General features: G+C 39.7%; 1 pseudogene, besides 1 other annotated feature; it reads right to left on the bottom strand.

The window, feature by feature from the left end:
• RPL28P4 (ribosomal protein L28 pseudogene 4) lies at positions 1,898-2,264 on the bottom strand (annotated as a pseudogene).
• Positions 8,592-9,092: an enhancer, noted in NCBI's record as "H3K4me1 hESC enhancer chr15:58485939-58486439 (GRCh37/hg19 assembly coordinates)". NCBI's record gives its function as "activates a minimal SCP1, AML or CMV promoter by ChIP-STARR-seq in naive H9 embryonic stem cells {active_cell/tissue: H9 hESC(naive)}" and the evidence as "EXISTENCE:reporter gene assay evidence [ECO:0000049][PMID:30033119]".

Raw genomic sequence — 16,920 nt, 5'->3', positions numbered from 1 at the left:
TCCATATCTTTACTAACACTCATTATTGTTCATTTTAAAAAATTATAACCATCCAAGTAGGTGTGAAATGGCATCTCATTGTGGTTTTGATTTGCATCTCTCTGATGATTACTTTAAGCATCTTTCTAAGTGTTTATTGGCCATTTGTGTATCTTCTTTGCAGAAATGTCTGTTCAAATCCTTTGCCCATTTTAAAATTGGATTATTTGTCCTTTTATTGTTGAGTTGTAAGAGTTTTTTAATATATTATAAATGTGAGCTCCTTATCAGAGATATGATTTGCTTATATTATCACCCATTCTATGGGTCATCTTTTCACTTTTTTTTTTTTTTTTTTTTTTTTTTTGAGACAGTCTTGCTCTGTTGCCCAGGCTTGAGTGCAGTGGTGCTATCTTGGCTCACTGCAACCTCCACCTTCCAGATTCAAGAAATTCTCATGCCTCAGCCTCCTGAGTAGCTAGGATTATAGGCGTGTGCCAGCACACCTGGCTATTTTTTTTGTATTTTATTAGAGGCAGGGTTTCTCCATGTTGGCCAGGCTAGTCTCGAACTCCCGGCCTCAAGTGATCCACTTGCCTTGGCCTCCCAAAGTGCTGGGATTACAGGCGTGAGCCACCATGCCTGCCCATCTTTTCACTTTCTTGATGATGTCCTTTGAAACCTAAAAGTTTTAATTTTGTTGAAGTCCAACTTATCTATTTTTTTTTCTTTTGTTGACGATGCTTTAGTGTCATAGCTAAGAAGCCATTACCTAAACTAAGGACAAAAGATTTATGCCTATCTTTCTTCTAAGCATTTTATAGTTTTAACTTTTATATTTATGGTCTTTGATTCTTTTTGAGTTAATTTTTACATATATTGTGAGGTATGGGTCCAAATTCATTCTTTTGCATGTGGAAATCCAGTTTTCCCAGCACCATTTGTTGAAAAGCCCATTCTTTCCCCCACTGAATTGCCTAGGCAACCCTGTTGAAAACCAACTGGTCACAGACTTATGGATTTATTTCTAGACTCCTAATTCTATTTCATTGTTCTAAATGTCTGTCTGTATCCACACTGTCTTGATTATTGCAGCTATGTACTAAGTTGTAAAATTAGGAGGTCTGAGTCATCTGCCTTTGTCCTTTTTAAAGACAAAGTTTTGGCTGTTCTTCATCCTTTTCATTTCCATATGAATGTTATGATCAGCTTGCCAATTTCTTTCAAAAACAAAGCTGAGATTTTTAACAGGGATTGCATTGAATCTGTATATGAATTTAGATGTATTGCCATCTGTATTAGCTTTCTATGACTTTTGTAACAAATTAGTACCAATGAAGTGGCTTAAAACAACAAATTTTATCTTATAATATTGTAGGTCAGAAGTCCCACATGGGTCTTAACAGCATCCTCCCTGGCCACTCGAGAGGGTACCCTCACTCCTTGGCTTACCACACCCTTCACCATCTTCCAAGACAACAATGGCAAGCCAAGTCCTTCACAGGCTGCTATTTCCCTGGTTCTCACTTCTGAAGTCACACTTCCTTCCCACAGCTGGAAAAGGTTCCCTACTTTTAAAGACCCATGTGATCAGATTGGACTCAATCAGACAATCCAGTACCAGCCCCCCGAATCAAGGTCCTTAATGTAATCACATCTACAAATTCTCTTTTGCCACAGAAGTTAACATTTTAACAGGTTCCAGGATTTCGAATGTGGCTATCTTTTCGTGAGTCGTTATTCTGCTTACCACACCATCTTTATTACTGTTCTTCTTCTTTTTTTTTTTGGTGGGGAAAAGGTCATCTGACCATTGCTTTTGGGGGACGGGGGCTCACGCACTCTTGTTGGGGTAGGTTCACTTCCTCTTCACCATCACAGGCTCTGGCTATGCAGGATGGCATTAGCCCTGTGGATGGCAGCCACGTGCAGGTCAGGGCAGTCTTTGTTCTTGAGGATCATGTGCCTGATGCTGCTGAAAGTGGCCCAGTTGTTCTTGTTGATGGTGGTCTGCGTGCGTGTAGGAGGTGGCTGGCTTTTGCTGGCCTGATCTCTGTTTCATGACCACCACCACACTGTTCCATCGGCTGTTGGCTTCACATCCACAGTCTTGTGGTGAGTTGGCATGGTAGCAGAGGGAACGTGGGGCTTCAGGTTACTGGGCTTGGTGCTGTAGGTCTGCTTATTCCTCTTGATCAGGGAACTGGAGCAGTTCTGCACCACCATCCACTGCAGAAGCACAGACATGGTGGCGGTTCCTCTCACAGTGCTGGAGATGGAAATAGCCATACCATCTTAACAGTGTTAAACTTTCTAAACCATGAACATGGAATATCTTATTATTTTTTTAGATATTCTTTAATTGACTTTAATGATAGTTCACAATTTTCAGTGTGCAAGTGTTGTACTTCTTACTATTTTTGTTAAATTTGTTTGTAAATTTTGTTATTTTTCATGCTGTTGTAACTGGGATTATTTTTAAAATTTTATTTTCAGATTGTTGCTAGTGTATGGAAATAAAATTGATTTTTGTTTTTTGATTTTATAGCCTCCATCAACAGAGCTTTGTAATTATTGCTTTATGCAGTTATCTTTACAACCAGACGATGGGAAAAAAAGAGTTACAAACAAAAATACATGCATATTGCCTTTTGTTTTTACCTACGTGGTTACCTTTACCAGCCTGTTTGTTTCTTCATATGCATTAGAGTTACTGTGTAGTGTCCTTTAATTTTACCATGTAGGATTTCCTTTAGAATGTCTTGTAGGGAAGATATAGTTGTAACAACTCTCTCAGTTTTTGTTTGTCTGGGAATATCTCAATTTCATCTTCATTTTTGAAGGATGTTTTGCTGGTCATATAGTTCTTAGTTGACAGTCTTTTTCTTTTATTACTCTAAATACACTATGCCACTGCCTTCTGGCCTTCATGGTTTCTGATGAGAAATCAACTATAAATACTTTTGCATAATTTATACACAGTTAACTGCACAGATTTTAAAGTGTAGGGTTTGATGAGTTTTGACATGTGTGTATGTCCATGTAGCCTTTAGCCAAAGCATGTTTTATAAAATTTCCATTTCCTTCAAAAGTTTCCTCAAGCCCCTTTATAAACAGTGCCCTCTTCTATTTCTAAAGCAACCATTGCTCTGGTTTCTATAACTATAGAGTACTTTTTTTTTTCTATTCTTGAGCTCTATAAAAATGAAATTACACATTATGCACTCTTTTATATCTGACTTCTTTTGCTCAGCATGTTTTTAAGATTTATGCATATTATGGCATATATTGATAGCATTTTCTTTTTTTTATTATTATACTTTAAGTTGTAGGATACATGTGCACAACTTGCAGGTTTGTTACATATGTATACATGTGCCATGTTGGTGTGCTGCACCCATTAACTCGTCATTTATATTAGGTATATCTCCTAATGCTATCCCTCCCTACTCCCCCCACCCCATGACAGGCCCCGGTGTATGGTGTTCCCCACCCTGTGTCCAAGCGTTTTCATTGTTCAGTTCACCTATGAGTGAGAACATGCGGTGTTTGGTTTTCTGTCCTTGTGATAGTTTGCTCAGAATGATGGTTTCCAGCTTCATCCAGGTCCCTACAAAGGACATGAACTCATCCTTTTATATGGCTGCATAGTATTCCATGGTGTATATGTGCCACATTTTCTTAATCCAGTCTATCATTGATGGACATTTGGGTTGGTTCCAGGTCTTTGCTATTGTGAATAGTGCCTCAATAAACATACATGTGCATGTGTCTTTATAGCAGCATGATTTATAATCCTTTGGGTATATACCCAGTAATGGGATGGCTGGGTCAAATAGTATTTCTAGTTCTAGTTCCTTGAGGAATCGCCACACCGTCTTCCACAATGGTTAAACTAGTTTACAGTCCCACCAACAGTGTAAAAGTGTTCCTATTTCTCCACATCCTCTCCAGCATCTGTTGTTTCCTGACTTTTTAATGATCGCCATTCTAACTGGTGTGAGATGGTACCTCATTGTGGTTTTGATTTGCATTTCTCTTACAGCCAGTGATGATGAGCATTTTTTCATGTGTCTGTTGGCTGCATAAATGTCTTCTTTTGAGAAGTGTCTGTTCATATCCTTTGCCCACTTTTTGATGGGGTTGTTTGCTTTTTTTCTTGTAAATTTGTTTAAGTTCTTTGTAGATTCTGGATATTAGCCCTTTGTCAGATGGGTAGATTGAAAAATTTTCTCCCATTCTGTAGGTTGCCTGTTCACTCTGATGATAGTTTCTTTTGCTGTGCAGAAGCTCTTTAGTTTAATTAGATCCCATTTCTCAATTTGGTTTTTGTTGCTGTTTCTTTTGGTGTTTTCCACATGAAGTCCTTGCCCATGCCTATGTCCTGAATGGTAATGCCTAGGTTTTCTTCTAGGGTTTTTATGGTTTTAGGTCTGACATTTAAGTCTTTCATCCATCTTGAATTAATTTTTGTATAAGGTATAAGGAAGGGATCCAGTTTCAGCTTTCTACCTATGGCTAGCCAGTTTTCCCAGCACCATTTATTAAATAGGGAATCCTTTCCCCATTTCTTGTTTTTGTCAGGTTTGTCAAAGATCAGATGGTTGTAGATGTGTGGTATTATTTCTGAGGGCTCTATTCTGTTCCATTGGTCTATATGTCTGTTTTGGTACCAGTACCATATTGTTACGGTAGCTTTGTGGTATAGTTTGAAGTCAGGTAGCATGATGCCTCCAGCTTTGTTCTTTGCGCTTAGGATTGTCTTGGCAATGCGGGCTCTTTTTTGCTTCCATATGAACTTTAAAGTCGTCTTTTCCAATTCTGTGAAGAAAGTCATTGGAAGCTTGATGGGGATGGCATTGAATCTGTAAATTACTTTGGGCAGTATGGCCATTTTCACGATATTAATTCTTCCTATCCATGTGCGTGGAATGTTCTTCCATTTGTTTGTGTCCTCTTTTATTTTGTTGAGCAGTGGTTTGTAATTCTCCTTGAAGAGGTCCTTCACATCCCTTGTAAGTTGGATACCTAGGTATTTTGTTTTCTTTGAAGCAGTTGTGAATGGGAGTTCACTCATGATTTGGCTCTCTGTTTGTCTTTTATTGGTGTACAGGAATGCTTGTGATTTTTGCACATTGATTTTGTATCCTGAGACTTTGCTGAAGTTGCTTATCAGCTTAAGGAGATTTTGGGCTGAGACGGTGGGGTTTTCTAAATATACAATCATGTCATCTGCAAACAGGGACAATTTGACTTCCTCTTTTCCTAATTGAATACCCTTTATTTCCTTCTCCTGCCTGATTGCCCTCGCCAGAACTTCCAACATTATACTGATTAGGAGTGGTGAGAGAGGGCATCCCTGTCTTGTGCCAGTTTTCAAAGGAAATGCTTCCAGTTTTTGCCTATTCAGTATGATGTTGGCTGTGGGTTTGTCATAAATAGCTCTTATTATTTTGAGATAGATACCATCAAAACCTAATTTATTGAGAGTTTTTAGCATGAAGCGCTGTTGAATTTTTGTGAAAGGCCTTTTCTGCATCTATTGAGATAATCATGTGGTTTTTATCTTTGGTTCTGTTTATATGCTGGATTACGTTTATTGATTTTCATATGTTGAACCAGCCTTGCATCCCAGGGATGAAGCCCACTTGATCATGGTGGGTAAACTTTTTGATGTGCTGCTGGATTTGGTTTGCCAGTATTTTATTGAGGATTTTCACATCAATGTTCATCAGGGATATTGGTCTAAAATTCTCTTTTTTTGTTGTGTCTCTGCCAGGCTTTGGTATCAGGATGATGCTGGCCTCATAAAATGAGTTACAGAGGATTCGCTCTTTTTCTATTGATTGGAATAGTTTCAGAAGGAATGGTACCAGCTCCTCTTTGTACCTCTGGTAGAATTGGGCTGTGAATCCGTCTGGTCCTGGAATTTTTTTTGGTTGGTAGGGTCTTAATTATTGCCTCAATTTCAGAGCCTGTTATTGGTCTATTCAGGGATTCAACTTCTTCCTGGTTTATTCTTGGGAGGGTGTATGTGTCCAAGAATTTATTCATTTCTTCTAGATTTTCTAGTTTATTTGCGTAGAAGTGTTTATAGTATTCTCTGATGGTAGTTTGTATTTCTGTGGGATCGGTGGTGATATCCCCTTTATCATTTTTTATTGCGTCTATTTGATTCTTCTCTCTTTTCTTCTTTATTAGTCTTGCTAGTGGTCTATCAATTTTGTTGATCTTTTCAAATAACCAGCTCCTGGATTCACTGATTTTTTGAAGGGTTTTTTGTGTCTCTATCTCCTTCAGTTCTGCTCTGATCTTAGTTATTTCTTGCCTTCTGCTAGCTTTTGAATGTGTTTGCTCTTGCTTCTCTAGTTCTTTTAATTGTGATGTTAGGGTGTCAATATTTGATCTTTCCTGCTTTCTCTTGTGGGCATTTAGTGCTATAAATTTCCCTCTACACACTGCTTTTAATGTGTCCCAGAGATTCTGGTATGTTGTGTCTTTGTTCTCATTGGTGTCAAAGAACGTCTTTATTTCTGCCTTCATTTCATTATGTACCCAGTAGTCACTCAGGGGCAGGTTGTTCAGTTTACATGTAGTTGAGCAGTTTTTAGTGAGTTTCTTAATCCTGAGTTCTAGTTTGATTGCACTGTGGTCTGAGAGATAGTTTGTTATAATTTCTGTTCTTTTACGTTTGCTGAGGAGTGCTTTACTTCCAACTATGTGGTCAATTTTGGAATAAGTGTGATGTGGTGCTGAGAAGATGGTGTATTCTGTTGATTTGGGGTGGAGAGTTCTGTAGATGTGTATTAGGTCCGCTTGGTGCAGAGCTGAATTCAATTCCTGGATATCCTTGTTAACTTTCTGTCTCGTTGATCTGTCTAATGTTGACAGTGTGGTGTTAAAGCCTCCCATTATTATTGTATGGAAGTCTAAGTCTCTTTGTCAGTCTCTAAGGACTTGCTTTATGAATCTGGGTGCTCCTGTATTGGGTGCATACATATTTAGGACAGTTAGTTCTTTTCGTTAAATTGATCCCTTTGCCATTGTGTAATGGCCTTGTCTCTTTTGATCTTTGTTGATTTCAAGTCTGTTTAATCAGAGACTAGGATTGCAATCCCTGCTTTTTTTGGTTTTCCATTTGCTTGGTAGATCTTCTTCCATCCATTTATTTTGAGCCTATGTGTGTCTCTGCACATGAGATGGGTCTCCTGAATACAGCACACTGATGGGTCTTGACTCTTTATCCAATTTGCCAGTCTGTGTCTTTTAATTGGAGCACTTAACCCGTTTACATTTAAGGTTAATATTGTTATGTTTGAATTTCATCCTGTCATTATGATGTTAGCTGGTTATTTTGCTCATTAGTTGATGCAGTTTCTTCCTAGCCTCCATGGTCTTTACAATTTGGTATGTTTTTTGCAGTGCAGGTACTGGTTGTTCCTTTCCATGTTTAGAGCTTCCTTCAGGAGCTCTTGTAGGGCAGGCCTGGTGGTGACAAAATGTCTCAGCATTTGCTTGTCTGTAAAGGATTTTATTTCTCCTTCACTTATGAAGCTTAGTTTGGCTGGATATGAAATTCTGGGTTGAAAATTCTTTTCTTTAAGAATGTTGAATTTTGGCCCCCACTCTCTTTTGGCTTGTAGAGTTTCTGCCGAGAGATCAGCTGTTAGTTTGATGGGCTTCCCTTTGTGGGTAACATGACCTTTCTCTCTGGCTGCCCTTAACATTTTTTCCTTCATTTCAACCTTGGTGAATCTGACAATTATGTGTCTTGGGGTTGCTCTTCTCGAGGAGTATCTTTGTGGCATTCTCTGTATTTCCTGAATTTGAATGTTAGCTTGCCTTTCTAGGTTGGGGAAGTTCTCCTGGATAATATCCTGAAGAGTGTTTTCCAACTTGATTCCGTTCTCCCCGTCACTTCGAGGTACACCAATCAGACGTAGATTTGGTCTTTTCACGTAGTCCCATATTTCTTGGAAGCTTCGTTCATTTCTTTTTACTCTTTTTTCTCTAAACTTCTCTTCTTGCTTCATTTCATTCATTTGATCTTCAATCACTGATACCTTTTCTTCCAGTTGATCGAATCGGCTACTGAAGCTTGTGCATGCGTCACGTAGTTCTCGTGCCATGGTTTTCAGCTCAGTCAGGTCATTTAAGTTCTTCTCTACACTGTTTATTCTAGTTAGCCATTTGTCCAATCTTATTTCAAGGTTTTTAGCTTCTTTGCAATTGGTTCGAACATTCTCCTTTAGCTCCCAGAAGTTTGTTATTACTGATCTTCCGAAGCCTTCTTCTCTCAACTCGTCAAAGTCATTCTCCATCCAGCTTTGGTCTGTTGCTGGCGAGAAGCTGCGTTCCTTTGGAGGAGAAGAGGCACTCTGCTTTTTAGACTTTTCAGCTTTTGTGCTCTTGTTTTTCCCCATCTTTGTGGTTTTGTCTACCTTTGGTCTTTGATGATGGTGACATACAGATGGGGTTTTGGTGTGGATGTCCTTTCTATTTGTTAGTTTTCCTTCTAACAGTCAGGACCCTCAGCTGCAGGTCTGTTGGAGTTTGCTGGAGGTCCACTCCAGACCCTGTTTGCCTGGGTATCACCAGCAGAGGCTGCAGAACTGCAAATATTGCAGAATGGCAAATGTTGCTGCCTGATCCTTCTTCTGGAAGCTTCGTCTCAGAGGGGGCACCTGGCCGTATGACGTGTCAGTCGGCTCCTGCTGGGAGGTCCCTCCCGGTTAGGCTACTCAGGGGTCAGGGAACCACTTGAGGAGGCAGTCTGTCCATCCTCAGATCTCAAACTCTGTGCTGGCAGAACCACTACTCTCTTCAAAGCTGTCAGACAGGGAAGTTTAAGTCTACAGAAGTTTCTGCTGCCTTTTGTTCAGGTATGCCCTGCCCCCAGAGGTGGAGTCTACAGAGGCAGGCAGGCATCCTTGAGCTGCGGTGCGCTCCACCCAGTTCGAGCTTCCAGTTCGAGCTTCCAGTTTGAGCTTCCAGTTCGAGCTTTGGGGCTGCTTTGTTTACCTACTCAAGCCTCGGCAATGGCGGATGCCCCTCCCCCAGCCTCCCTGCAGCCTTGCAGTTCGATCTTAGACTCCTGTGCTAGAAGTGAGCAAAGCTCCGTGGGTGTGGGATCCTCTGAGCCAGTTGTGGGATATAATTTCCTGGTGTGCCATTTGCTAAGACTGTTGGAAAAGTGCAGTATTAGGGTGGGAGTGACCCGATTTTCCAGGTGCTGTGTGTCACAGCTTCCCTTGGCTAGGGAAGGGAATTCCCTGACCTCTTGCACTTCCTGGGTGAGGCCATGCCTCGCCCTGCTTCGGCTCATGGTACCTGGGCTGCAACCACTGTCCTGCACCCACTGTCCAGCAAGCCCCAGTGAGGTCAACCCGGTACCTCGGTTGGAAATGTGGAAATCACCCGTCTTCTGCGTCACTCACTCTGGGAGCTGTAGACTGGAGCTCTTCCTGTTCGGCCATCTTAGAACCTCCACATTTTCTTTTTTATTTCGAGAAATATTTTTATTGTAAGAATATACCACAAATTGTTTATTCATTTTCATGTTGCTGCACATTTGGATTCCAAATATTCGAAATCTGGAAATTTCAAAAGCAGTTTCCATTTTCCAGATTGGAACTATTATGAATGCAGATGCTATAAACATTCTTGCATAACAGTTTTTGTTGTTGGTTTTTTAAATTTGGTCTTTTTATGGTTAAGTACTTGGGAGTAGAATTGAAGATCATGGAGTAGGTGTAAGTTTACCTTTATAATAAATATTTTTATGAAATAGTTGTACCATTTTACACTTTTACTAGCAATATATGAGGGCTTCAATTGCCCCACATTCTGCTGTTTGGTGTCTCCAGTATATTTTAAAGATAACTATTCTAATGCCTGCAACATGGTGTATCATTGTGATTTTAATTTGAACTTCCTTAATGTGCTTATTGGTCATTCATATGTATTCTTTAATGAAGTGCCTGTTTGTTTACATCCATAGTCTATTTTAAAAATTGGTTTGTCTTTTTTATTGAGTTGGGTGAGTTCATATATTTTGAGTGCATTACCTTTGTTAGATACAGCTATTACAAACATTTTTTTCCAGTCTGTGACTTGCCTGTTCATTTCCTTAATGATCTCTTTTAGTGGGTAGAAGTTTTAAGTTTTATTGACATACATTTGATCTATTTTTTATAGTTTTGTATTCTTATACAAGAAACCTTTGCCCATCCCAAGGTTGCAAATATTCTCCCATATTTCTCTCAAGAAGCTTTATAGTTTTAAGTTTTATTTTTAAGTCTAGATCCCTATTCAGTTAAATTTTCTGTTATGTTTTTGTGAAGTAGAAGTCAAGATTTACCTTTTATTCTAGTTGTTCAGTACCATTTGTTGAAAACACTTTCCTTTCACCGCAGGACTGCATTAGCTACTTTTATTCAAAATCAATTTACTGTATAAGCATGGGTCAAATTATGGATGCTCTATTATGTTTCATTAATCTATTTATTCCTTCCTATACTAATAGTATACTGTCCTGATTAGCATGGCTTTATAGAAAGTCTTGAAATAGCCTAACTTTTCCTATGTTTTCCCTCTTTTCCTAGTTTGTTTTTTTTTTTTCTAGTTACTTTGTATTTCCATACAAATTTTAGAGTCAGCTTGTTAATTTCTCCAAAAAATAGCCTGCTGATTTTTATTGGGACTTTCATTAACTCTGTAAATCATCATTTATTTTTGATAGATTTTTCAGATTAATTTGGCAGCTCCATTAGGCAACTAAATAATTTGTTTAATTAATTTATCAAAACTAAACTCTGTAATTCATAAGCTAAGCACAGCCTTATGTAGGTTCTTTGCACCTGAGTATATTAAGAAAACTCTCAAAGCTAAGCCAGCCATATTAATTAGATTATTTAGGTGTTAGCAAATTCATATTCCTGGAAAATTTTCTTGGGCTTCACATTCTCACACAAATATACAGCTGAATTTGTAAATGTGAAATAATAATAGCAGAATTAGCTAAGAAGTATTAAGAGGGAAGTAAATTCCAGGCATTGTGCTACAGGTTTCACAGGCATTTTCTTAATATTTTCAATAACTTATAGGACACAAGTACTAGTATTATTCCCATTTAATGCATGAGGAAGCTGAGGTTTAGGGTCACACAGCTATTCAATGGTGGACTGGAATCCAATCTGACAGTCTCTAGAGCCTGACATTTTGAACACTAGCTACACAGTCTCCAATGTGTTAGCAGTTGAATGCCCCCATGGTCTTATTCCAAAGATAATCACATCAGCAACGAAACATCAATTCTCTGCTGGTTTTTTTATTTGGTCTTTTTATGGTTCTAGGCTGAGAACAGGCTCTGGGATGGGCAATGCATGGTCCTCGCTTCTTCATGATCTATAGGTGATTTTTGACTAGAACTGTATCCTCCGTTAGATCAAAATCTTATTATCAGAATATCACCACAGATCAGCCAGCCAAGGGCCATCAAAATCCTCTCTAGATAAAGGTGATTTCCTTCATGAAAATGTTGGAACCTAGAAGTATTGTGCCACTGTTGTATACGTTTCCATTTCCAAAGGTCTGAAGTCTTTGGGTAAGAATAAATATATAAATATCAAATAAGTACTACTACCATAGGTTATAGTAGGATTTTCTAGGTGTTCGCTTGCCTTAATCACTCACAGTGTCACTCACAGGGCTGCACAGATGTTAAATATTTGGAGCTCTTTTCACAATATATTTTACCATTTGAAGTATAAGCATTTTGTATAGTGTGGATTTCTTAGTGTAACAATAATTGTTAATTATATTTTCCATAATTTCAAATAAATGCAGGACTTCCTCCTTGCTTAAACATAACTTTACTCCTGGTAGATGGCTACTTTTTAGTAGTAGCAGACAAATGCATTTTCCTTTTTGCATCAAAATTAAAATGTTTTGCAAAAATCTTATAGAATTGGACAGGAAGGTACAAATCTGAGGGTGCAAGACAATGAGCCCAAAGGAGAGCATCCGTCTGCAAGGAGGGTTGGTGGTGGGAAGTGCAGGAATCTTGGCTCAGGATGGAGGGTGACCAACTGGTCCTGGTATTGGCATGGAATGCTGCATCCCAGGAAACCCTTGAGTCCCAAACTGTTGCTGCAAAACCCTGATTTTGCCTGAGCCATTAGACGTCAGAGTGACTCACTGGTTTTCAACCTTTACAGAACCTACATTGTTACATGCCAGAGTTAAAAGGCAGTCTCAGCTAGGTGTGGTGGTGTGTACCTTAGTACCAGCTACTCAGGAGACTCCTTGAACCCAGGATTTCGAATCCAGACTGGGCAACATAGCGAGATACTCTCCACCAAACAGCAGCAACAACAAAGGGCAGTCTCACTGGAAATGTCCACAATGACTGCGTATTTGATGATATTAAGAAGTTGAGAAATTATTGATACTTAGTTTATGTGTGATAATGGTATTGTGGTTATGTTTTTAAAAAGAATTCTTATCTTTTAGAAATACATCTTAAATATTCATGGGTAAAATGGTATCATGTCTAGGATTTGCTTCAAAAAAATCCCAGGGGGAGAAGTGAAAAGCAGAGAGGGTGAATAAGTAAAACATTATTGGCAATATTTTGGCAACTGTTGAAGCTGAGTGAAGGGTACATGGGGTATCATTATACCATTTTCTGTCTATTGTGTATTTTTTAAATCTTTCATAATAAAATAAGATAATCCTACTGACTTGTTTTAAAGATTGAAAAATAAAACTGAAACCTTAGGTACTTGAAAGATAGTTCCTGAAAGAAATGTGCAACTGAGAAGGATTGAATTATAAAAAGCAAGGGAAGAGCTTGTAACCAAATTTTAATGACATTATTCCATGTTTTCACACTCCCACATATTATAATGACATCAGTAATAATAACAACAGCAGATGCTGTGGCAGCAACAGTTCATGTTTATATAATATATACTATAAGGTTGGGACTTTTCTAAGAACTTTACCTTGATTATCTCACTGTTATTATTTCTACTTCATCCATGAGAAAACTGAGGCTAACTAACTTGGCTACTGTACTAACAAGTAGAGGAACTAGGATTCGAATCCAGAGAGGATGACTCTGTACTGCATTAATTCAACTAATTTTCATAGAGCAACTACCATGTTCTAGGCCCTGGGGCAGAGGTGGAGAATTAAAGAGCAAAACGTCTTGCCAGCATGGACCTTCTATTCCACCAGGAGGAAACAGACAAAATCCAACAAGTTTAATACAAAATGTGTGTATTTTAGGGAGCGTGGTAAGTGCTGGGGAGAAAAATAAATCAGGAAAGTGGGTAGAGGGTGATGGGTGATCAGAAAGACCTTACTAACAGTGACATCGAATAGGCACCCGAAAGAGGTGGGGTAGGGAATTTCAAGTAAGAAAGACATCAGGTGCAAAGGCCCTGTGGCTGGGGCTTGCTTGGTGGGTTCAAGGATCAGGATGGAAGTCTGTATCGCTGCAGCTGAGGCGACAGACAAAGGGGAGGGCAGTAAAGACCAGGCCAGGAAGGTCAGAGCATGTGACACTTCTAAGTACAGTTGGGCTTTTATCTAAAGATCATGCAGGCTGCTGTGTTGATTACAGGCAGCAGGAGTTTAAGCAGAAAGGTAGGGAGACCTATTAGGAGGCTTTTCTAAGACCTAAGAGACAGAGGCCGTGGCTTAGACTAGGGCTGTGTGTGAGAAGAGGTCAGATTTGGAATATATATGGAAGGTAGAACTGACAGAATTTTCATTAATAGCCTATTCTCTAAACCACTGTGCCACTCTTAAAATATTTATTCACATTTATAATTGAAATTAAAAATGAAGACATTCTCTGTTTCTGTTAAATTAATCAAAGAACATTTTATCTGCTGCAAGACAATGAGCCCAAAGGAGACCATTTGTCTGCAAGGAGGCTCGGTGGTGGGAAGTGCAGGAGTCTTGGCTCAGGACGGAGGGTGACCGAATGGTCCCGGTATTGGCACTGAATCCTGCATCCCAGGAAACGCTTGAGTTCCAAGCAACCTGGGATGGTTGGTCACCCCACTCAGACACGCGGTTCGCATCCCACCTCTTTCACTCTTCACTCCGGAACTTGGTACAAATTGTTTAAGGCCTCGACTCTCAGTTTCCCTATCTCTAAGTGGAGATAATAATCTACTTGCTGAGCTGTTCTGAGAGTCTTAGAGGTCCTGGATATGAACGTGCTTTGTGAACTGTGAGACACTAAGAATTAAAGCACAAGAATTGTTCTTTAATAACACGTTACGCAGGACCTTTGCATCGGGGGTACTCGGGCCCTGGACCGCCCTGCTTCCTCTGCAGGAAGGAAGTCAGGAAGCCACTCTCCTGCTGGGAGCCTGAGGTGGAGGGCGGAGTGCCACGACGTGGCCGATCCCCATGAACAGTGGTCTGGGCTCTGGAGCGTCCCTCACAACCTTCAGGACTCCCAGGGCTCCCGCAGTGTTTCCTAAGACCCCACAGTGAGGGAGTTGAGGGCCCCGTGGAGGAAGGGGCTGCGTGTGAGGGGCTCTGGAACACAGGGGGGCGCGCTAGAGTAGGGAGGCAGTGGCAGATAGTAGGACTTCCTTACTGGGCGCTATGTCTGGAACCCATGCTACTAAGAGACCATGGGAAGGCTTAAATATCTCCTGAAATCACATCCAGAAAAAAAGAATATAATCGAGCTTGTCACCAGAACAATTACAAAACGATTTAATTGATACTTTCAGGGGTGGGGAGAGGTCCACAAAGGCAAAAGTGTCGAAAGCTACTAGAAACATAAGGTAGCCCTGGAGGGAGACAGAGTCCAACTGGCTTGGGCAGCATCTCCATCCACACAGAGTTCTGTGGATTCATGTTCAGTTTGCCTGGTGCCCTCTTTTCACTAATCCAGAGACAGCATCTCTTGAATAAGAGCTACTCCGTTTCCAGCAATAAGAAAGAGATTGGAGCATGGTTGGTTGCTTACCTATCTGTCTGTCTATCATCTATCTATTTATTTTTATACAGACTTAGACAGTCAACACAGTAAGTGTGACCAGGAGTACCATTGCTTCTGTGTATGGGCTGTGATTAGTAAACATGTTGTCACAGAGAACTTAAATTCCCAGTTTGAGGACTGATGTACCACATCTCTTTGTGGGTGATGTTTGCTGGATTGAGTAATTCTGTTCACCCTGTCTAATTCATTTATTAAAAAGTCTTTGGAAAAGACCTGAGATTAAGTTAATATGGTCTTTTGTAGGTTATATCCTTGAAACTTTCATAAAAGTGTGCACCAACAACTTATCCCAAGTCTTTATCAATGATTTTCAAACTGTGACACTGTGTTCTGAAACCCCACCCCCAGCCCTGACACACACACACACACACACACACACACACACACACACACACAATTTCTCTTCAGAGACCCCTTAGGGGCTGCATTGGGGGTGTGTTTTTAAGATGATATCACAAGCAGAATGAAGCTCCTGATCCCCCTCCCTTTTTTTATTTATAGCAATTCTGGTTCACTTGTGGGTGTCATATAAGGTTTTATTTGAACGACAGGTTCTGTGGCTAAATAAAACTTATAAACCATTCTCTCTAACTGGAAGATGTATTTTTTTCCCATGACGATATTATTGAACATCAATATACCTTACAGTAAGACGTGTGTGTGTGTGTGTTTGTGTGTGTGTAAGCAATTTAAAGGAAATAATAATTTATATCCTAAGGATAACATTTTACGTATGACATTTTTATGTGGAGTATCCTGTTTAACAGCTGAATATTGACTGGTTGTTACTGGTTAGAAAAGCCCTGCAACCTTTGACATGCTCTGAGATCTCAACTGGTTAAAGAATCAGAGAAATTATATTTTTGGCATTAAGATAAATGCTTCTATCAAGTTTTTCGATTCATGAGGTGGAGGGAAGGAGGAATGTTACAATTCTAACTCTTAAAGCAACTATTTAAAAAATGGATAAGTTGGCTCTATCTAGTTGACTTTGGATACAGATAATTCAACCATATAAACATTCTCTTGGAAAATAACTCCACAAAGGTAAATCCACTTATTTGTAAATGGGGGTAGGGGTGGGGAGAGAATTTGAGTGTGAGCACCTGGAACAAAAGCACTTTTTTCCATTGAAAAAATTCTTCCTGGGGTTGATTTCCATAATGGTACATTTCCTGTTTATAAATCCTAGTCATCAATCATCAAATTGTGTTTAATGAGCACCTGTGTAGATCATAGATTCCACAGTTCATCCTCAAAACTCAAATTTTGAATTGCCTCTTGCTTTAAGAATTATAGTCCACCCCCAGGGTTTGTTCCTGGTTTGTCTGGCACCTTTGCTCCTGACTGAACTTGAATCAAGGTGCAGGATTTCAGTGTCTTCTCTTACTCCCCTCCCTACCTTTCCTCGACACCAAGATCTCCGAACCTCAGCATTATTGACATTTTGGGCCAAATAATTACCTGTTGGGAGGGTTGCCTTTGCATTGTAGGATATTTGGCAGCATCCCTGGCCTCTAGCCACTAGAGGCCATTAGCATCCCCTTCCCAGTTGTGATAACCATAAAAGTCTCCAAATATTGCCACATGTTCCCTTTAGAAGTAGGGAGGGAGGAAAACCATTGCTCTAATCCATGAGGATCCCAAGACTCTGGAATCCTGCTAGGAATTACCTGGCCACTACTGGACATGGTCAAAGAAACTTTAGACCCGTGTGATTTACCCAAGTCAATGTTCTCAACCCTTGCTGCATTTTAGAATCACCTGAGATGTTTACAAAGGACCAACTGGGCACCAGTATTTTTTCAAAAGTTCCCCCAGGAAATTCAAATTTGTAGACACAATAGACAACCTCTGAACTAGACGTACTTAGTAATCTTAATACTTATAAAAACCAACCAAGCAAC

Source organism: Homo sapiens, chromosome 15 (genome assembly GCF_000001405.40).
Source record: "Homo sapiens chromosome 15, GRCh38.p14 Primary Assembly".
Classification (NCBI taxonomy): domain Eukaryota; kingdom Metazoa; phylum Chordata; class Mammalia; order Primates; family Hominidae; genus Homo; species Homo sapiens.
The sequence above is the reverse complement of the archived record's forward strand: the minus strand, read 5'-3'. Positions and strand labels throughout refer to the sequence as shown.